Here is a 23,391-nt window from a genome sequence, read left to right as displayed (position 1 = left end):
ACTACCTGGGGTTGGAGGGAAAGAGACAGCTAAAGAAACTGCATTTAGGGCCACAAACCTTCAATAAGGAGTCAGAGTGTAAGAAATAAAGAGCAAATGAAGCAGGGGAAGAAAAAAGCCCTGGTGCCCCCTCTTTGCAAGCGCACGGCTACCCTGACATCCTTGGAAGTTAAAGAACAGTGAATGCTGTCTACAGCAACAGTGGTGCTGAGAGCCACAGCTCTCGGGGTATTTGGGATGTAGTGCTGGAAGCCCTGGCTTTCAAACATGGTTCTTTCACAAATAAGGTATGATCATCTCTGTAGACCTCATAGACTTACGAGGCTCAAACAAGTTGCTAGATGTAAAAGCATCTGTGAGCTCTTAAAGGATATGTGCTTGTGTGTCGACCCTCCCTGTCCCACAACCCCACCCAAGATAATCAAAAGCCCTCAAAGATAAGTGAGATAATTGAGTTAGAATGCACCAAGCCCCTCAGAAGGAAGTTAGAGTATGGAAATATTAATAAGAATGACCCATATTTGCTTCTTGCTGATAATGCTTTTCTTTAAAGGAATGACACCAAGAGAGTCCAACTGTTGTAATGCCCTCAACTGTTGTAAGTGGGCTGCAGTGCCACATTTTTAGCAGCCAAGTACTTTGTTTCCAATTCAAAAGCAATAGTTCATTTTTTTGCAATTTCTTGCCAGAATCTGGAGAGAGACACCTATATAAATGTTGCATGAATACAATGATCATCTTCTTCCTATTGTTTGAGGCCGTATACCAGATATCAGCTCATGATGAGCTGTTGGTCACATCTGGCCAAAGCCCTTCAGGAAACTTTGAGATTGAAATCACTGGTGGAGCAGAGTTCACGAAGGGCCAAAGATGAAGAATGTAGTTTCTCTAAAAGTGAAATAATGGGACAATAACTGTCAGCCAAATGTCTCGGAGAGCTCACAGTCCCTTTTGATGAAATTCCATGTTTCTTACTTGAAAGGGCTGCACCCATGATTAGGACTTCCTCCTCTTGATCAGTGACTCAGACCTGAGTCAGTCAGAAAGCAAAACCAGGCCTGACCCAGCCAGTCCCATCAAGCAGAGAAGTAGACAGCTTCAGGGGAGGCAGGGGTGAGCAGAGCTGCCAAGAGCAAAAAGAAACCATTCATATCACCTTAGATACCACGGCTCTTCCTACTCCAGGTGCTTCCTGGAGAGGTATAGATGCAAAACTATAGGAGTCTTTAGAAGAAGCAACCAGCCGGACTGTCTTGAAACGCGATCAGAAAGTAAGTAAAGTTGACATCCGGATATCTCAACTACCCTCTCTCCATCCTGGGCCCCTTCCTGGCCTTCCTGGCTGCTCAGGTTTCATCTCATTCCTGGCTCTCCTTTATGTCCTCTTGTCCTGTGTCCTGTTCCTAAATGTCTTCCCTAATTAAGTCCTGGTCTGGACAATTTATTAGAGCTAAGCAATTAATAGCTGCTAATGGCTTTGCTTCTGAACATGGGCTTTCTATCTTAAAGCACAGGAGTGAGTACAGTGGCAATTAGACATTGCGGGTGATCTCTCCCCTTCTATCACATGGACACCATGGGTGACAGGCTGGCACTGTAGGGCAAAATTTCCATTGTGCTTCAGAGGTACAATATCGAACACAGTGTTATATTTTTCCTTTACCTCAGACCGAGAGAACTCAAAGAGTTAGACACTACAATTCAATATGTCAAGATTAAAGCAATTATTGTAAATTAGCTTAATCATTCCTCTATATGCCTTTAGCAGCAGTTTTTTTTTCCTATTGTCACTGCCAAATAAATGGAGGCTTGTAAATACAGATAAACTTAACTTTTAAAGGATTGTCTATTCTCAAAGGTTCCAATGCTTTAATTAAAAATGTTCCCATGATATAAAAGAAAGCATCTGTGTTGTGGCAGTGTGAGATACAGGGAGAGCATGAATGAAATATGGAAAGGAAATCATGGCTAACGTGGCTGTCTTTTCATTTCGTCCACATATTTGTTAGTCTAATGACAGCAAGATCTACTCTTAGCATGGTCTCTGACTGATTTTGGAGCTCCTAAAGGCCAGAGAACAGGGAACAGCTTAAATGATTCCCTCCCTTTCAAGCCATAGATTTTAGACTTCTGTGTACGGAACACTCCAGCAAGGAATTACTAAGGGAGTAAGTACTGCAAAAGATGGAGAGCGCTGCTCTCGAGCTTCAATGTGCACACGAATCACCTGAGAGTCTGTTAAAATGCAGATTCTGATTCAGTAGTCTGGGGTGATACCTGAGATGCTTCATTTCTAACAAGTTCCCTGGTGATGCTGATGCTGCTGGACCGTGGAGTATATTTCGAGCAGCAAGGAACACTCTAGATACAGAGTGCAGATAGAGAGGCTTCCCCAGATAGTAGCAGTCAAATGGTGAAGAGGCTTAGTGGAAAAGCAGAACAGTTCTTTTTGAACCAAGTGAAGGGAAGAGGAAACAATAGGGACGCAGAGACGAGGCTGATGACACCTGTGCTCCTGAGGGGTTCAAATATAATAGATTTCAAGCAATATACACCGGAAAGGCATTGGCTCTCACAAGCTAAGGGAGAAAATATGCCTAGGGGTTGGAGTATGTGTTCTGGAGCCATATTGCCTGGGTTCAAGTTCCATCTCTATCACTTTCTGATAGACACTTTGATCATGCTACCTTACCTCCCTGAGCCTTAGTTGAGTCATCTGTAAAATATGAATAATAGAGTTTATCTCAGGATGATTGTGGGGATTAAATAAAATGAAGGGTGTAAAGCTTTCGAATAGTATCATCCACATAGTGCTCATTAAGTGGTAGCTATTGTAACGCTTCCCATTTTTGAGCTGATACTGTTATAAGTACTACTGGGCTTTATTCAAGCGCTGGAGAGCCATTATAGTGCCATGTTGGCTTTTGATGTGAATCTCAAAGCAGCTTCCATTATTTGAGACATAGGAAAAGGCAGTGATTTTGGATTTAAGTAATTGAAATTCAAGACAAAAATGTTAAAATGGGGAAAAAAAACTCCCTCTCAGAAAGTACACTTATTATGTGCTTTGACCTTTGTCACTGCCTCTGCCTATAACTTCTCTGGCTGGAGAATCATTTGAATGAGGAAAGAATGATTTAAAAATAAAAATGAACTAGAGAAACAAACTGTATTCTGTCTCTGCCAAAAGGAAATGTACAATCGGGGTAATTATCATCCAGCCTGGGGCAGGCCAGGCCCAAGGGAAAGGAAAGGAGGGAAGAAATCCTAGAGAAAGATATTTACGAGCCCATCAAGCATGCAATGAGAATCACGGAGTTGTAGGTACTGTCCTGGGATGAATAAAGGCATTAGACATTGCCTCTCTTTCAGGGGATTATAGTCTAGTTGGGAAGACATTAGAATAAAATATACACACAGAGAGAGAAGTAGATAGGTCCATACATACCAACTGTGGGAAAGTTCCAGTGAGGAGACTTGTTTAAAACAAAGAGTGTGTTTCTGGGGAGTAAAGATTAGTCTAGAAAGGAAAGTTGGGCCTGACTGTGAAGGTGTCAGGAGTTTGAGACCAGCCTGGTCAACATAGCAAAACCCTGTCTCTACTAAAAATACAAAAAAATTAGCCGGGCGTGGTGGCGCATACCTGTAATTCTAGCTACTCGGGAGGCTGAGGCAAGGAGAATTGCTTGAACCGAGGAGGCGGAGGTTGCAGTGAGCTGGGCTGGCGCCACTGCACTCCAGCCTGGGTGACAGAGTGAGACTCTGTCTCAAAAAAAAAAAAAAAAAAAAAAGAAAGTAAGAAAGAAAGAAAGTATGCTGTGGGCAATTAGAAGTTAATGTTATTTTCCTGGGGGTGAGAGTGTCAAATGCAAAAGAGCATTTTAAGAAGATCATTCTGATTGAGCAATTTAATAAATATTTATTGAGTATTGTGTATAGCACCAGAGTCCAGGATGCAGAGCTTTGCGAGGATACGGAAAAGAAGACAAAATGTATACCCTTCAAAAATTAAAAGGCTTGTCAGGGAGACAGACACAAATACAATGATCTTTAATGCGCAGTGGAAAGTTCAATGAAACATTTCATGTACTGTACGTTCCATGTGGAATGGTCACTACGGTAAACTAGTAAATGCAAAAAATGTAAGGTACAGAACAGCACGTTTACTTTGCCGCCATTTGTTGAAAAAGAGATGGAAGAAATGTGTGTTTACATACATGTGTATATGTATGTAAGATTTATCTGCAAAATCATACAAAAATCAAATGACATTGGTGGCCTCTAAGGAAAGGAATTAGTTTGGCTAGGAAGGGGGACGGGCTGGGAATGTTGTATGCATATCCTTCGGTACCCTCTCTGAGTTTGAGACAAATGAATGTGTTATCTACTCAAAACATTTGAAAATGTATTAATATACTAAAATAATGTGTATGGTATAGCATGGAAATGGGAAAGATGACTTTCAGTTGAGAGAATCTGGGAAGACTTCTTGGAGGCTATGAAGCTGGGTCTTTGAAAGGCAGCATTTCCACAGGTGCTAATTCGAGTGGGAGCTTGCCTTGAGCCACAAGGTGGGGGATAGATCTCTGCCGTCCAGTACTGTAGCCCCAGCCACGTGCAGCTATGGAGCACTGGACATGTGGCTAGTGTGTGCAAATTGAGACGCGCTGCAAGTGTAAAATGCTTATGGATTTTTGAAGACATAGTATGAACAAATGTAAAATTTTTCATTATTAATTTTTAGATTTATTACATGTTAAAATGATATTTGGAAAATAGAAACATTAAAATGAATTTCACTTGTTTCTCATTTTAAAAAATGCAGCTGCTACATAATTTAAAATCATGTCATGGCTTGCATTAGATTTCTCCCGGACGGTGCTATTCTAGATCCTGGAGATTTTCAGAGAATGGTGAGTTAGGTCAGTACTGCTGCAGCAGAAGGTGTATATGGGTAAGAGTGAGAAGAAAGGTTGGAAAAAGTGGGCCAGGCCAAATTCTGAAGGATGTCGGCCACTCAGCTGAAGAGTTTGGACTTTATTTTTTTATTTACTGGTGAGCCACTGCAGGATTTTGAGCACGGGAATCAGATAATCAAAAGGCTGCTTTGGCCTGGGGTGAAGTAAAGGGAGTAAGAGTAGTTAGTGTAGTAATCAAGGAGTGAGGTGCTAGGTTCTGGGCTTAGGTGGTAGCTTTGAAATCAGAAAGAGAGAAATGTAAACTATACTGTGGAAGGAGAAGTGATAGAACTGAGTAGGGGTGTGGCTGTCAAGAGATAACTTGAAGTTTTCTGACCTTGGTGATTAGAAGCACATCAGTGCCAGTGATCAACATCAGGAAGTCTGGAGAGGGAACTGAATGGGGACTGCCTGAGAGGGAAAAGAAGTTTGATTTTTGACATGGTGAGCTTGAGGTGGCTGGGTGAAACGTGGGATTGAGAGTATGAGAGACAGATTTATTTATTTATTAATATCTTATTTTATTTTATTTCATTTTATTTTATTTTATTTTATTTTATTTTTGAGACTGAGTCTTGCTCTGTTGCCCAGGCTGGAGTGCAGTGGCAAGATCTTGCCTCACTGCAACCTCCGCCTCCTGGGTTCAAGTGATTCTCCTGCCTCAGCCTTCCAAGTAGCTGGGATTACAGGCGCCCACCACCACGCCGGGCTAACGTTTGTATTTTTAGTAGAGACAGAGATTTGCCATGTTGGCCAGGCTGGTCTCAAACTCCTGACCTCAGGTGATCCACCCACCTCAGCCTCCCAAAGTGCTGGGATTACAGGTGTGAGCCACCGTGGCTGGCCGAGAGGCAGATTTTTGGATCTTAGTAGAGGTGATCATGGCAGTCAGATAATTATAATAATGATTAGTATGTTTATGCCATTATAATACACAAAATGTACTCATCCTATATATTACTTTACACAATCCTTACAATAGTCCAAGGCTCACAGGGTTTTAGTAAGTTGCCCAAGATCACATAGCTAGTTAGTGGCCAAGGTAGCGTGCTAAAACTCGCCTTCCTTGTATCATTGTAATTGAAAGAAAATGCTGCGGGTAAATGTAGAGAAATCTTAGATTCCAGATTATATATTTTCAGTTCCCCCAAGTTGCTTCCTAAATTAAGGGCTAGCTCTAACCCTTGAAAAACCATCTTAGGTTCTCTTCAGTTGTTTTAAACATTATTTGTAGAGGTGAGGAAACTGAGGCCCTGAGAAGTTAGTGAAATGTTTGTAACGTCTATTAGTAAGAGGTATAGGTGGAACTCAGACAAGGGCTGTGGCAGATTGCGTTATTGTTTCTATAGATTCTTTTTTCCTCCTGCCTCCTGCCACGTGCCCTGATGAATTGACATGAACTTGGTCATAAAACTTGCTTTTGCCAATGGAATGTGAGCCAAAGTGACTTCCACTACATATGATCAGAAGATTGAAAGCTGTGGCAAGGTTCAGCATTGTTTGCTCTTTTCCCTCTGCCGTAAGATTGGCGTGTCCAAAAAAAAGGGCTTCTCCTTCAGCCAGGATCCTAGAATGAAGAAGACACAATGAAGCAGTGCCACAGATGACCTGTGGCTGCCACAGCATACCTTTGCTAATTGAGGTTTGGGGGTTGTTTTTAACCATCATACAACGTAGCAAAAGCTGACAAATACACTATCCCATGATATGGACTTTACTTCCTTTTTGCATTGACTACACAATTACGCACTTTTAATCTGGCTGACTCCTACTCATCCTTTAGGTCTCTAATTAAATATCACTTCTTCAGAGAGGACTTTCATGACCACCCAATCTAACTTAGGCCCCTTCCCTTTCCACCACACACACACACACACACACACTCACACACACACACACACACTCACACACACACTCACACACACACTCTCTCTCACACCATTATTTTCTCCTACAATATCTGCAGTCTTTCCTTCTAAGGCACTAAACACAACTGTAATCACATATTGATTTGTTTGCCATTGGCATGCTCCACTTGACTAAGCTCATGAAGACCTAAAACACGTCTACTTTTGCTGGTATGTAGTGCCTAGCATAGTGCCTGTCATGCAGTAGATGTTCAATGAATATTTGTGGGATGAATGATGAAGAGATGAATAGCTTGTTTATGAGGTTGTTGGATCATAAACCAAAAACAAAGGAGGGTGCTTTGATTTAGGGGAAATATGACTACTAAAGTACCTCCTAGGTGCAAGGATGAAGTATTACTTTTTTCTTTTTGGTCCTTCTCTTTCGAGGAAACTTCGAAAGCAGTGGCACTTTTCAAACCCCTTAAAAACAGATCTACTTGCCAACAGATTTCTATGGCTTGGCAGGTTTTCTGCCTGATACCAGGGAAGCCTGCTAAAGCCTGCAGATAGGTTAGGACTCCTCTATAAGAAAAAAGGACTGTTGCCACAGAATGCTTAGTTATATGGAGGAAGAGATTCACCCACCCTTCCGCTTCTGAGTGATTGATGCAATTTAGTAAGAAGTGGGAGGAGAAAGAGACTACTGGGAAATGGGAATTATGTGCTGGATATAGTGGATACCTTTCTGGTCCTAACCAGAAAAATCAGGCCCACTTCCCCTCACTTTCACCTGCCAACAGAACACTGAAGAGGTGACTCTGAACTGTATCACACCAAGCTGGCCGATCGAGTTTGAAGGCTTTGTGCAAAATGACCAACTTTCCCATGACAGGACCACACACACACATCTGCACACTCAGATGGTAGGAAGCTGGAGGAAGGAACAATTCTGTGCTTTAAATCATGAAATCTCTTGTATGGAGAAACTCACAAGGTCTCACAACTTGAATTGTTGAAATACACAGTGAAGCCTAATGTAGAGGTATGGTGTCAGTGCGTGGAGTCAATGATTCACGAGGTCGCTTTCTTACTAGGGATGCCCATTAATCCTGTGACTCTAAATTTTCTGCCTTCTGTGACTCCAGAACACACAGGCACACTAGGTTCCTTGGGTAGGGCAGAATAGGAGAAGCTTATGAGGATATACTGCACTTTTAAAAAGTAAAATAAATGTAATAAAAAGCAGGCAGCATAATTGCCATGACTTATACCCTGTGACATTTGATAATAACAAGGTTGGTACATTACAAATAAGTTCCACATTTACAACTCTGCCTTGATATTTACACTTATTAAATTGTTGAGGGAGGTGGTTCCTGGATGCTGGAGGCCCATATATAAAACATATTAGCATAATTGGAGTACAGCCAAATCCCTCAGTGTACATTGCAGGCACTTGTTAAAAGCTTGACCTTGGAGGAAAAAAACTTCCTACTTGTCTTCAATCCTTCCTCACCTCCTGAAAGTACTCCTCTAAAGTCAACTTCCAGCTAAACACAGTTCGGGGAGTTTGTCCTTAATGCTGACCTTAGGCAGGTCCTCAGTTCCCAGGACAGTGATGAAGGCTATGTTCTCACCTGGATGAGGAAATTAGCTATGATTTTCCATTACCTGTAGCAAACATTCCTTTTCATTTGTTTAATTCCCTGAGAGTTGACACTACACATTAATTCATTGAGCAATTGCTTTGTGTAAAGGCCCAGAGATGAATGAGACCGTCACTGCCATCAAGGAACTTACACTTTAGTCAAGGACACAGACAACTGTAGTAGAAGGCAGAATGAAACAAAGGCCAGAATAGAGGTATGAACAAATTGCTGTGGGAGCATAGATAACACAATTTATTTTAGTGGGGGAAGAAAAATTAAGAAAGGCTTCAGAAAGGCAGCATTGGTCCTTGAAGGATTGATAGGAGAAAAAGGGTGAGGCTGGGCAGTGAGGCCATAACAGTCAGAGCAAAGTGCATGTGTGTATAATGGCATGAAGGTATATACACAGTCAGTGACTTAATCATATGTTTAGTATTGGCATTTTCCAATGATAACTCCTGTGTGGCATGGCTTAAGGAATGAGGTAGAAGAGGCGTCAAAGTTATGCTTGGGTCTGCTCCTGAGACCTTTGAAGGCTGCACTGGTTTCATTAATTAGGGAGAACAATCAAAGATTTTTGAAGTGGGCCAAGAAAGGCATTTTAGGATGCTCTCTCTAGAGTGTGAAGAATGGGTTGAAGAGGTAAGAGACTGAAACAGGGAGGGCAACTTCTGTGCCTGGCTGGATATTAGGGGAGAGGGAATAATACAAAATGCTTCCAGAGTTTCTAGCTATAGAAATTGGGAAAAGGCTAATGCCAATACTGAGACAGGTGACTGACCTGGATGGAAAAATAAGTTTGCTGGAGAAGAACATATTTGGTTGGGAATATACGGAGTTTAGTGTGTGAGCTATCCTTTTCGGTGGGAAGGTGGTTTTGGGGTCCAGGAGAGATCTCAGAGTCATCTCCATGAAAGAAATTCTTGAAGCTGTGGATATGGCTAAGATGACCCTGGAAGGTGAAGAGAACACAAATGAAGGCAACTAACAATAATGCCTATTCATAAGAATGATATAATAGACTTTGAAGATTTGGGGCGAAGGGTGGGGGGAGGGTGAGGAATAAAGGACTACAAATTGGGTACAGTGTACAATGCTCGGGTGATGCGTGCACCAAAATCTCAGAAATCACCACTAAAGAACTTACCCATGTAACCAAACATCACCTGCTCTCCCAAAACCTAGTGAAATAAAATAAAAGAATGCCTATATTTAGGGGTCATTTGAAGACAACCACTGATAAAGGGGAATGAGTTTTCTGAGAGGTAGGGGAAGACAGGGCTAGGTACACTTGGTGGAAGACATGAGAGAAAATAAGTGGGATGAGGATTCAGAAGCATTCGTAGGATTTGGCAGTTAGGTGGGTCATTGGTAGCCTTGAAGAAGAGTCACAGCTTGAAGGTTGTTGTTTAATAGTATGGTGGAACCTTAAAGATGTTTGTTTGTAGACTGAGAGGAAATGTGATGATGGATAATGGATGTTAAAAGTGAAGTCCTTACAATAATACAAAGTACTACAAGATGTAAGGTCATAGCAAGTCAGCTTTGTTATCACAGATGCTCTGAAGTAAAAAAGTCATTGACATCTGGAAGACGTTTTTATTTTTATCGTTATACTGAATTCTGCTAGGGGCCTTAGTACATGACCCCTTTCATTTCCCCTCCCTCTTTCCCTCAAGCACCACCATTAAGTGCTACCAGTTGTTCAGCCAGATAAAGCACTCCATTACTCGATTTTTGTCCAAAAGTCGAGGCCACTGTGCTATTATATGCCATAGGTTTCCGAGACTTGTTCAAAAAGAAAATTCATAGTACTTAGGTATTTTCAATTTAATTCCCATTGTGATATTTGAGTTTTTGTAGGAAAATGGAGGGATGGCAACACAAGGTATTTGGGGTGGAAGGAGATAGAGCAGATTCATAAAACAGGCCTCATTCTGGAATAACACAATATTAGCCAAAATAAAGCCATTCAGTGTCACATGACCCGGCATCTGAATGTCCTAGGAGGGAAGTCTTAGAGTTATTTGAGTAGAAAGACATTTAGCATAAAGGGAATAGACTTGGGCACAGTTTGAAAGTCTAAGAGATTACTGGGACCATAGTAAAACAGAGAATCTGCTGTTCTTTTAGAAAATAATAATTGTTCAAGAACCTCTTAAATGTACAGCTTAAAATATTAACCAGACACTTAAGAAGGCCTAGCTATGAACTAATTGAAGCTTTCCCCATAAATTATACTTTATCTAAATATCTTTCTTTCCTGACGGTATGAAACCAAAGCTGAATCAGTATATTTTAATGTGCACTCAGTCTTTTGTCAGTTTTTTCTTTCTTTGAACAGCCATACAATGTTTTGGCTTTCAGTGTTGTTTTAAAAAAAGGAAGAGAAAGGAAAAGAAAAGAAAAGGGAAGAAAAGGGAAGGGAACTGAAAGGGGGTGGGGAAGGAAAGGAAAGGAAAAGAAAGCAACCTAGAGATCTTACCCTTGCTCTTATTACCATAATCACTATAATATTACTGAATAAGTTGTGCAGAAATCATGTTCTCCTGTCTGCTTCATGTCTCTATGATTTGATGCTACTTGCTTATAAGGCTTGCATGAGCCATTCAACAGTACAGATAATAGGATCATAGCGGCCGGGCACCGTGGCTCACGCCTGTAATCCTAGCACTTTGGGAGGCCGAGGTGGGCAGATTGCCTGAGCTCAGGAGTTCGAGACCAGCCTGGGCAACATGGTGAAACTCCATCTCTACTAAAATACAAAAACAAAATAATAATAATTAGCCAGGTGTGGCGGCATGCGCCTGTAGTCCCAGCTATTCAGGAGGCTGAGACAGGAGAATTGCTTGAACCCGGGAGGTGGAGGTTGCAGTGGGCCGAGATCGTGCAACTGCACTCCAGCCTGGCGACAGAGCGAGACTCCATCTCAAAAAAAAAAAAAAAAAAGGATCATAGCAAGCCTCAGAGCTGCAGCTGTGCGTATCTGTGGTGCCACTGACAACTGCTACCCCAGTTTGGGGCCTCATTTCTCATAAGTATTACTGCAGTAACCTCCAACAAAGTTGGCCTTCTGTGGCCTCTCCCCACTCTACCTTTCCTACATAGAGCTTCTAGAGTCATCTTCCTTCAGTGCTCCAAATAATTTCTTTGCTCAAAACTCCTCAATATTTCCCTATCCTGTACTGAATCAAGAAGCCCAAACCACACATCCACTGCTGTGTTTCATGGACCTTGCACTCTAGTGAAACAGAATTGTTCAATATTCTCTGCATATGCACCAAGGTTCCAAGTTTATACCTCGGCTCATGCCTTCCCTCCCTCCCTCTTCAAAAAGATGTCAGTTCCATGAATCTTGAACCACGTCTAGCTGGTTCACTGTCATAGTCTCAGAGCCTAGCATTGTGTGTGGCACACAATAGGTGCTCAGTAAATACTGACTGAATGACAGTGTCACAGATCCAAATCTACTTACCTCTTAAATTTCAGTTTAAATGCCAGCCACTCCACAAAATCTACACAGATACCAGCTTCCCACCCAATAACCACCCCACCTCTCTAAAACTAAATTCTTGCTTTTTCTGAACCTCCACAGGCCTTATATCGGTTTCAACATCAATCAGTTTCTTTCCACCTTGGATTACAATTCTGTTTGTACATATCCCATCTCCCACTAGGCTGTGAGATCTTGAAGCCAGGAGCTATGTTTAATTCATAATTGTGTCCTGAAAAAGCAGCTTGCATCAAATGGACACTCAATGATTAGAACAGCCCCACTGGGGAGTGGGGGTGGGGGCAGACTTTAACAAAGTAGAGAAGTCGAGGGGTTTTATATTATTTATTATTATGTCAAATAATAGGATAATAGTGTTTACACTTTGCTCATAAACATCAAAAGGTGATGGCTGAACCTCAATTAGCCAAGATATAGGTGAAAATATTAGCTGAACTGCTATTATCGAAGATATAAGGTCATCATGGCTAAAGATTGAACTCTGGCTCATCTCCAAGAACTAGGAACAAAGTTATGATTTGCATAATTCATATATTTGCAAGTTGTTTTTTCTGAAATGGACACTAACTGTAATAATATTTTATTTGTGGCCACTGGGACTCTGGACATCTAAATAAATTCAGTCTGTAAATGAGATATTTGGCTATAGCTTTCTTTTTATTATAAATCATCAAAACTATATAGCATGTTACATGCATTGCATGTATATTAATTTCTGGATTTCCATTTTTCCTTTGAGCTCTTGGCCTTAAGCTCAAATTCTCCTAGTTGTGGATACTAACGTTTTCAGACTTCCTATTAAGGAATTTGCCTATTTGGGTCTCATGGGGGAGAAAAAGCCAATGTATTTGATTCCTGATGTAAACCATTCCAAGGGAAACAATGGTCTTTGGTTTGCCTTGGAAACAAATGTTTCTGATTGTATTATTTATAGACCTGGTTATTACGTTGTCCAGACCTTCATCTTCAAGTCACCCCACCCATGATGAGCTATTCTATTGAAGGCTCTCCAGAAAATAATAATCTACAGTCCTTTTATTACTCATTCCAGATTTTTACCCTTCTAAGCATTTGAAGCCCACTTGCTTAATTCTATACTCAATACCAAAACAGAACAAAAAACAAAACAAAACGAAAAACTTCTCTGTTGAAACAGTTTCTCTGGAGCGTGTAAATCACCCTTCTGATGTTTCTAAACTTTTCAGTTGTACCATATCTCCACTACTCTGGCAAGCAGTGCTAAAGAAAACCTTATGATTCCTACAAGTATGTTTTTAATATGATCCCATGATCTCCACTGGACCAGGCACATACAAAAGCACTCCTGCACTTCTGTTTGGTTGAAGCTTCTCCCCCCCGATAGTTCATGCCTTTTCACTTGTCTTTAATCTTAATTATCATAGGCAGCACAACATTTAACGTATATCTTAACTTTATTGAATAAGTAAGTAGCCATTACATATAGATTGCAAGTCATTCTTGGTCCTGCTTAGAGATAGGTGTTTATTCCAAGGTGAAATGACAGCACAAATCCACAGTTCTACTGCAAGTGAAATACTTCTTCAGGGTGGCTTGGTATGGACACAATCTCCCTCAATACCCATTCAAAGCAGTCTTTGCTTTCACCTCTCCCTTTAGGTGAGGGATTCACGGTATGTAAAATAAGCTTGTAAAGAACCCTTCTGTATCAGAGGTAGTTTTGTGCCTGCACTGTGAACCATAGAAGGCATTTGGTCAAAGGTGTCATAAAAGGGGCAGAAGAGGTACATCAGAGCACAGAGTTGGGATCGATTATTTTTTTCAAGTTAATTGCCCATAGTAGCAAAAGTATCAACCAAAATTTAGAATAGCCTGTCCATCCATTTAACAACAGAGCATGCAGCAGCCTGTGCAGACAATAGCTTTTAGAGACAAACTTCGATCTGGTTTGAGCACCAAGAATGCATCTTAAAAAGTGAAAAATTCATTTGTGTGCAATGAATAGTGTAGTGAGCTGCATGGTGCCCCCTCCCCAAAAAAGATATTCAATATCCTACTCCCTGGAACCTGTGATAGTACCTTATTTGGAAAAAAGGTCCTTTCAGATATAATTAAGAATCTTGGAATAAGGGAATTATCATGGGTAATCTGGATGGGCCCTAAGTCCCGTCACAAGTGTCCTTATAAGAGAGAGGCAGAGGTAGATTATATATACAGAGGGGAAGTGATGTGAAGACAGAGGAGAGGGAGATGCAGTCACAAACCAAGGAATGATGGCAGCCACAAGAAACTGGAAGACACGGGAAGAGTGTTTCCCTTAGAGTCTCCAGAAGACGTTCAGCCCTGCCAACCCCTCAATTTTGGACTTTTGGCCTCCAAAACAACAAGATAATAAATTTCTATTGTTTTAAGCCACTGGGCTAGAGGGTAATTTGTTACAGCAGCCATGGGAATCTAATGCAGATTGTGGAACTGGGACGGATTGGGTACTTCTGTAACAAATGTCTTAAAATGTGAAAAAGGCTTTGGAATTGGATAATGGGTAGAGACTAGAAGAATTTTGGTGGCTGTGATAGAAAAAACTAGATTGCCTTTACCAGATGGTAGTAGTATGAATGTTAAAGGCATTTCTAGTGATGGTTTAGAAGGAAATGAAGATTTTATTGGAAAATGGAAGAAAGGGAATCCTTGTCATATAGTGGCAAAAAGTTTATCTATCTAAATTGTCTACTACAGTAGTGTGAAAAGTTGAATAAATGATGAACTTGGATGTTTAGCTGAGGAAATTTTCAAGTCTAGTGTTAGAGATATAGCTTAGTTTCTTCTTAGTGCTTATAGTAAAATAAGACAGAAAACAGATACATTGACAAAACAGGCTGGGCATGGTGGCTTACACCTGTAATCCGGCACTTTAGGAGGCCAAGATGGGTGGATTGCTTGAGGCTAGGAGTTCGAGAGCAGCCTGGACAACATAGCAAGATCAAGTCTCTACAAAAAAATGCAAAAAATTAGCCAGGCATGGTGGCATGCACCTGTAGACCCAGCTACTTGGAAGGCTGATGCAGGAGGATCCCTTGAGCCTGGGAGTTTGAGGTTACAGGGAGCTATGTTTGCACCACTACACTGCAGCCTGGGTGACAGAGTGAGACCTCATCTCTAATACATTAAAAAAAATTTTTTTTTAAAGAGAAAATAACTATATAAGTGGACAAAAGGAATCAGTATCTGATGACTGGGTAAATTCTGAGCCTGAATTCACAATCTGAATGATTGTAAAAAAAAAAAAAGATGCTAAAATTAGGAGATTCACTGTTAGAAAAGTGTGCTCTGTAGATAAGCCCAAGGGTGTGTCTTGACAACCTTTGGCTAGTGCTGAAGAGGTTAGGCATTAACTTGTGGATTTATTTGACTGTTTCAACAGAAGCCAAGAATAGAGATGGGGTTGTTCAGGAAAAATCTGTGAGGACCCTCTTTTCTGAATGTGTGAATCAATGTGACATACGTAGAAGACCCACAAGATTTTTGAGAATGTTCTACCATCAGAAACACTTCCAACTGGGCCTAAAAGGGACAGAGACAGAAAAAAATGAAAGAAGATTGTGAGACTGCCAGAATTCTACAGGTAGGAAACCCGTTGATAAAACTTCTCAGCTGCAAACATGTGCCACCCTTCAAGATAAAGGAAGCACCATCCCGAGAGCAGAGCTGCAGGTACAGAGGCAGAGGCCCAAGTGTGGGAACAGAGGAAGAAGTGCAACCCATAGGCACAGAGGCAGAGGCCCAATCCATAGTCCAAGAAAGAAGAGCTACAGGCCCAAAGGGTGGAGCCCTGAGAAAGAGGATTACTGCCAGGCCTTGAAATATAACAGAAATTTGCCTGGCTAGATTTTGAAAATGATTGGGACAGGAGACTCCATTCCAATTTCCATTCTCTCCTTTTTGAGACAGAAATGTCTGTAACTGTTATCCTATGCCTGTTCCCACCATTGTAATTTGAAAGCAGATTAACTTTTCTGTTTCACTGGTTCTCAGAGGAAGAGGAATTTGGCCTCAGGAAAGACCATACCCAGAGTTTCACTCATACCTGATTTAGATGATCTAAATGATAAGCTTTGGAACTTTTGAACCGATGATATTTGAATGAAATTTTGGACTTAGGATTGATATAATGGGTTGAGACTTTTGGTAATGTTAGGATGGGATGAATGTCTTTTACACATGAGACAGACATAAATTTTGGGCCAAAGGGCAGACTCTGGTGGGCTAAGAGTGGCTTCCTAAAAGACATAGCCACATCCTAATCCCCAAAACCATGAATTTATCTTATTTGGAGAAGGGGGCCTTGCAGATGTAATTAAGTTAAGACTCATGAGGTGAGGAGATTATCCTGGAGTAATCTGGGTAGTCCCTAAAAGTCATCATAAGGATCCTTATTAAACAGAGGCAGAGGCAGATTAGGTATACAGAGGAGGGTGATGTGAAGACACAGCAGAAAGAGAAATGTGGCCATAAGCCAAAAAATGCCAATAGCCACCAAAAGGTGGACGTGGCAAGGAAAGATTCTCCTCTAGAGCCTCTGGAGGGAGCATGGCTTTGCTGCCCTTCAAAAATGTAAGCAAATAAGTTTCTGTTGTGTTAAGCCATCATATTATTGGTGGTAATTTGTTACAGCAGCCAAAGGAGATGATGGATGCAATTAGTTGTTAATATTTTAAGGATTCTGTACCTTTTAAAAATATTCTGAAGAAAATCTGCATAAATGGTGCTTCTCATGTGTGGCAGTAATATGGCCAACAAAAGACCTTAGTGTAATTTGGTTTCATACTAAAAATGTCACTATATACTTTTTTTGGTGATATACTTTCCAATCATCTAAAACAAAACTGCAAATGGCTAGAGCAGGACCATTACAAATCTGGGAAACAAACCTTTTAACTCACTCAACTATTGGAACTTCATGAAAGACCCTGAAAGGTTTTTTTTTTTAATGTTTGTGAAAAGCATGTGGGATTGCTCTAAATAAAAATATATAAGTTATCAATAATAGTACTTCATTCGTTCTTGTTCACAAACTAGAAAATAAGGCAAGTTTGTATCTGGAAAAGGTGATGATACATATCAGTATTTCTACCTTGACCAGCTTGATAATATAGCAAGGCATATGCTCCCAAATTTTAGTCAGGGTTAACATTTCAAGATCATTCTCCTACAGACTGATAAGCTGTCAAAAGAATTAAAAAAGCCATACCACGAAGATTTCAGAAAAGAAAGACTTTGTAAAGTCAAAAATACACATACTAGGTATTTACATAAATTAGAACCTAAACTTTTGTTGTTGTTAAAAAACAGTGTTACTGCTATGTCCCTTAAATGTGTGTGTGCATGTGTGTGCATTTGTGTATGTGTGTTTTCAGATCGGATAGGACTGTGAAATTTCAGATACTGTTACCCTTTTTGATTTTTCTATTGTAGCAGCTTCAGAGCTTTTTAAAGAAGTATAATACCTAAGTAAGGATGCACTGGAGGCAAAGGCAGCAGTTTGAATCATTATACATCTATATAAAGGAATCATCTGTGGGCTGCTGGTCACTTGTTTACTTTATCTCAGATGGGGATTTGCCAAGCCAGCCATTTGTTCTTCTCTCTGAATATCTACAATGTGCTTTGAATGAGTAGAAACAGTATTTTCTACATAAGAAATATACATGTAAGAAATTTCTTACAATAATCACAATCAATCATCTGCATGAATTAGACTTAAAATTGCACTCCAGAGAAGTTATACCACATTATTTCAATGCATATTTTAAAATAATAGACAGACAAGTTAAGTATAACTTTTACTCCCTAATTTATTTAAGAAAAATGTAGAACCTGTTTTCCCTGCTAGACTTGTTTTGGCAGCATCATCTTAATTTGTTAATATAAGGTAAGTAAGTATGATGATAATTGAGAAGTTCACTTAGTTGGAATTATTGTAGCAAGAGATAGAAATATATACACATATTTACACATACATACATAAAATTTCTTTTTCTTCTTCAGACCACCAAAGTGAAATTGGAAAGAGAGTGGAAAGGGAGATAAAACAATTGACCTTTCAGACAGTTTTCTGCTGCCTCCTGTAAAAAGAATTCTTTTTCCTCTCAGGTTTTCTAGAAGTCTATTCCCTGCCTTCAAGGGACTCAAGGGAGAAAGAAGCAATAGAAAAAAGAAATAAACCACAGAGCATAGGAATCAATATTTGCCTTTGAAATCTAAATAAACGTAATAGAATTTTCAGGTTCATCCCTAGCATAAACATTAAAATGTGAGGGTTTTCTCAAAAATAGCCATATAAAGTATTTGTATAAAGTAGATATCTGTGCATAATTAGAAAATACCTCTTTAAATAAAGTTTAAATCACTTTCCCTAACTGATTCGGTTAAACTTTGGTTTATTTATTTTTAGCAATGAGAAGTGCTTGCAATATCATGCTGAAATGCTAGCTAGACTAATGATAAGTTTAATTTCAGCCAAAGCAGATGAATCCATCAGCTTTCACTTGAGATAAAATTCTAAATAACTCAACTGGGGTGGAGCAGTACTTTCGTGAATTTCCAAAATGGCTTCTCTTACAGTGTGCATAATATTAGCCTCTCTCCAAATCAAGATGCATATTTTTCTTGGCCCTTTTCTATTATATATGTACTAGGGATTGGAAGCTGACACTGGATAATTCTTTCTATTCTTTTTCTTCTCTTTTGTTTTTGGTGGGGGTGACTTACACATTTAAGATTTTAAATTTTTGACTGAGTGTTTTTGAAAGCCTTAGAACTCTTCAATTTCTTACACTTCCATCATCACAGTCAGGTCACACACAATTACAAATGATACACATCTTTACACTAAAATGGAACACATTTTGTAATCCTGATAACTGTGTTCAGATTAGAATAATTGTGGGAGGAGTCTTGCAATAGTATTACAAATGCACACTACTTCATCCAGCTTATCTTGATCTTTGCAGAAATGCACTTATTTCCTTTCCAGCCGCTGAGTGCACACTTTGTTCTTCTCAAAATGCATCATTTTGTTTTTACTTAAATATTTTCATATTCTTTGGCATCAGGAATCACTTAGATGAGATAGCTCCATTGTGGCGAGAGCGTGACCTTTCCAAAGGTACTCGTCTGTTATCTGTAAGACAAACAGAAAAAGGACCAAAAGCATGGTAAGTTTTAGATCTTTGCTATTACATGATGTTAGGTTGAGAAAGGTTTTCAAATAGTCCTGAAAAATCACTTCAAATGAAAATGTAAATAAGTAACAAGGAACTCAGATCTGAGGAGTTCATGCGGCAGCTGCCCGGCTGAGTTCAAGAGTTCTGCAATCAGCAATAAATGACTTTTCTTGGTAAGCGAAGTCAGAGTGATAAAAGAAATGGAAGCAGTCTCTCAAGCACAGTCCCCTTGGAAATAGCAGGCAACAACAAAATTCTTTGGTAAAGATGTTAAATTGAAAAGATCTATATACAGCACCTTTTGTTGGAAAGCACTTCAATTCCCCATGAGTTTTCAATCTGTATGTTGGCTACCTCTAGAGGACACCAGCATAGGCAGAGCAGAAAAGAGTTTTTATTTTTTACAATGATTGCAATATGTGGCAATCACACTAGCTACCAAATTTGCTTGATTGTATGATGTAAAAAAATTCAATATATTATATAGTCATCATGGGAATGAATAATGAATAGGACCTATTCCAGGTCCCATTCCCACCACCCATCACAGGAAGAATAATTATTATAGAGATAACAAAACTTGGAAAACAAAGTTTAAAAGCATTGAAAGTTGCTGAAAATAGTTCTAGCTTTAATAGGGAAAAGGTTTACAGCTCTGCATTGCAATGATCACTACTATGTTATTATCACCTCTGTTTTATGCTCAGCTTAAATGCAATTGATGTGGGGTGAAAATCCCTTTCTGACAAAAGCATAATATACTTAGATTCTCTATTTAGAATGAGACTAGGTCCCTAGAAATAATGACAACCACCAGCACTTACATAAATGCTAACACTTTACACTCGTTAATTTGCTAATTCACACAACATCTCCGGGAGGTAAGCCCATTTCATTCTATCCTATTATCTCTGCTTTAGTGATGAAGGTTACACAGCAAATCAATGGTATGATGGGGGATTATAATGCAAAGTTAATGCCTAAATGTCAGGCCTGCTTTGTTCAGAGTTAAAGGTTGGGGCCTCCCAAGCTGCTACTCATTTCCTCCTTGAGATGATGACGCCCAACTAACACATCCTGCCTGTTGTATGGGGAGGAAAAACTGAGAACTACTGAGGTTTTGCCATGGTGCCGTTCTTGTCTGTGCTAGCATCTCTTGACTGATTTCCCGGTAGTCTGTGGTCAGCAAACAGAGCAAAGCTAACGGGCCTCCATGACCCCAGCCTCATTAACACCACGGTATGTGTCCTGAGCCAACCAGCCATAAACTTAAAGCATACTGAGTGCTTCATGATGCAATAATATCACTGAGAGGTGAGAAAGAAAGAGGCATTTTCTCTACTCAGAGATATATCTGAGTGATGGATTATTTGGGTGTCCTTTTGAAGATACCATTAAAAAATCCATTATTTAGTTTGAGATATGGATCACAATTCAGCTAAAAATGTGAAGATAACATTCCCGAATAAAGGACTTATTACTTAGATGTCACTGGTTTGCATACAGATTGGTTTTCTACTTCTTAGAAAACATTTAAAAATGAGATTACAATACAATGGTTCCCACCGCATTGCTAGCATGAAAGTATTCAGTGTTAAAGCTACCAGACGTGAGAATGACGGTAGCATTCCCAGAGGATCATGCTGACTTGAAAAAAGGCTTGTGCCTTGGTGGTCCTACACACTAAGGTCAACAGGCATCCACACTTCACTTCAGTAATGCTACTGGCACCCCACACCATCACTCACTACCCACTGGGTCCAAGACAAGTACCACATCCAAAAACCCAGCTTTGCAGCAATAAATGATGGGATGTAAGGCTTCACATCAACCTGCAACTTACTGGTGTCATCTGGTGTGAGAAAACAAAGTTTCGGGTCAAAACAAACTGACGAAAAGACATGGAAGCTTTTGCAAGGCAGGATAAACATTGAGTTCAGGGCCTAAATCCAGCTTTTGACATGCACAAAACAGAATTATTCTAGATTTTCTCCCTCCCTTTATTCCTTTCTCCTTTCCTTCTTTGCCTCCACCTCCCACACCTCTCTGGATGCCTAATTTGTCCCAATATTAATGAGATAATTATAAGAAGCAATTCTGTAAAAGTTGCCACTTACATTTTCACAATGTCAACCTACAACGTTTATGAAAAAAATATCATTAGAAACAATAGCAGCAATGGCTGATCTGGATCTTTTATTTCCAACTCTCTGTATTTATGTTAAAACTAATTTAGTTTAAAAACCAACAAATATATATACATATATATACTCTTATACTCTGCATGTTTGTGTGTGTGTGTAAATTTGATTTCATTTATCTTCACATTCTAGTGGCTAGCAATCTAATGATGACGACTTCCACGTTTGGAGTCATGTTTTTTAAGCAGAGATTGAAAATCACTCAATTGTTTGAAATACAACTTTTATATTTATAGTATTAAAAACGAATGGGGAAAAAGCAGTGGCCTGGCCCTTATAAGGTCAGGACTCATAGTTGGCATCACATTTATGAGGAAAGGACAAATGTTAGATATGATTGCTGCCAGAGGTGATATACATTAATTTGGGTGATAGTGGCCATGATTGTATGTCCTCTTTGGAAACAGGTGGAGAAACTGGGTGCTCATGTGATATGATCTGAGAGCTCCATGAGACCCAGCCTGAATCCAATTCACTTTTCTAACTAGTCTCATTCTCCTAATACTAGTATAGTTTAAGTGAAAAAAATACAGGCTTCTCCTTCAAAAAGTCAATAGTTGACAACACATGTATTTACCTGAGATTATATGGAGGGCTTTGTTAACAAGTAGTGGTATCCCTTCCAATCTGCCTGTTATCTTTTTGGAAATCAAAGAGAGAAAAATGGAAGAGGAGGGTCTGTCTGTGTATATATGCTTGTTGGGGACATTGTGCAATGAAATACAGAAAAACACGCTTGATTGGAGGATGGGGTAACATGATTTGTCATATTCTTCATCTGCTTCATTTTTCTTAATTCATAGACTAACACATTATGGTCTAAGAATTCATTAAGGGATTCTAATGTTTGTAAACATGAGCCTTAATGCAGCAATAAGCCTGAGAAATCAATCCCAAAATGGACCTTCCAAATCTACCAGAGCCGGCTATGCATGCGCTAACAGATTCTTTTTGTTCATCAAAGGCTTTGAAATGTGCCCCATGTGAAGGTGAATAGATTCTGATACTATGAAGAGTGACCTGGTTAAAGCATAAGGTTGAAGACAGGAACATAGTTATATGAAAATGTGCATCCTGGGTCAGGCGCGGTGGCTCACGCCTGTAATCCCAGCACTTTGGGTGGCCGAGGTGGGCAGATCACCTGAGGTCGGGAGTTTGAGACCAGCCTGACCAACATGGAGAAACCCCATCTCTACTAAAAATACAAAATTAGCCGGGCATGGTGGCGCATGCCTGTAATCCCAGCTACTCGGGAGGCTGAGGCAGGAGAATCACTTAAATCTGGGAGGCAGAGGTTGTGGTGAGCAGAGATCGTGCCATTGCCAGCCTGGGCAACAAGAGTGAAACTCTGTCTCAAAAAAGAAAAAAGAAAAAGAAAAGAAAAAGGAAGAAAGAGAAAAGAAAGAAAGAGAAAGAAAGAAAGAAAGAGAGGAAAAAGAAAGAAAGAAAAGAAAATGTGCATCCTATGGAGAAAGCGTGGCCAAAACAAAAGTAATATTCAAATCTTTCACTAAAAAGGAATATAAAACCATGGCCCAGCTTAAACATGGTTCTGCAGCTTCTGAATATCAGGTTAACCAGCTCAAACAGATGTCAAGGCTTTCCCTGCTGTCATATGAGTAAGAAGCTTTATGCCTTTTCTAAGCATAAATTGATTTGGCATTCATCTCAAAACCTTCTTAACTGAGTCCTGCAGTAAATGGACTAAACCCATTATAGTATTGCTTCAGAATTCATTCATGCAATCATTTATTCAGCAACTATGTACAAAGCACATCATCCACAAAATACCTGGATGTCACAAAGTTTCAGATCCACACCTAAATCTACATCATTAATTTCCTTCTTACCGAAGACTTTGTCAAGTGAAATAACTGGGGAATAAGCACAATACAGATAAAGCTTAAACACAATGTGACATGAGATAGACTGGAGGACTCGAGCTGCATTATGTAACCTGGGAGTGTGCAAACAATCCTCTAACACAGTGAGCGAGTGCCAAAAGTACAAGGCTGTA

At 39.9% G+C, this 23,391-nt stretch overlaps 1 protein-coding gene across 1 annotated transcript in view, besides 3 other annotated features; it reads right to left on the bottom strand.

The window, feature by feature from the left end:
* Positions 575-1,774: an enhancer, noted in NCBI's record as "P300/CBP strongly-dependent group 1 enhancer chrX:96871608-96872807 (GRCh37/hg19 assembly coordinates)". NCBI's record gives its function as "activates an origin of replication core promoter dependent on BRD2, BRD4, P300/CBP, MED14 and CDK7 cofactors, with strong dependence on P300/CBP, by STARR-seq in HCT116 cells {active_cell/tissue: HCT116}" and the evidence as "EXISTENCE:reporter gene assay evidence [ECO:0000049][PMID:35650434]".
* Positions 1,066-1,115: a silencer, noted in NCBI's record as "silent region_20913". NCBI's record gives its function as "represses an Ori minimal core promoter by ATAC-STARR-seq in GM12878 lymphoblastoid cells {active_cell/tissue: GM12878}" and the evidence as "EXISTENCE:reporter gene assay evidence [ECO:0000049][PMID:35858748]".
* DIAPH2 (diaphanous related formin 2) overlaps positions 13,386-23,391 on the bottom strand; it is a 920,156-nt gene continuing 910,150 nt past the window's right edge. The window contains exon 27 of the mRNA NM_006729.5: positions 13,386-19,130. Coding sequence (NP_006720.1) covers positions 19,066-19,130 — 65 coding nt within the window. The 3' untranslated portion in view covers positions 13,386-19,065. The remainder of the gene's footprint in view (positions 19,131-23,391) is intronic.
* Positions 20,840-21,341: an enhancer, noted in NCBI's record as "NANOG hESC enhancer chrX:96852041-96852542 (GRCh37/hg19 assembly coordinates)". NCBI's record gives its function as "activates a minimal SCP1, AML or CMV promoter by ChIP-STARR-seq in primed H9 embryonic stem cells {active_cell/tissue: H9 hESC(primed)}" and the evidence as "EXISTENCE:reporter gene assay evidence [ECO:0000049][PMID:30033119]".

The sequence above is a fragment of the Homo sapiens genome, chromosome X, assembly GCF_000001405.40.
Source record: "Homo sapiens chromosome X, GRCh38.p14 Primary Assembly".
NCBI classification, from domain to species: Eukaryota; Metazoa; Chordata; class Mammalia; order Primates; family Hominidae; genus Homo; species Homo sapiens.
The sequence above is the reverse complement of the archived record's forward strand: the minus strand, read 5'-3'. Positions and strand labels throughout refer to the sequence as shown.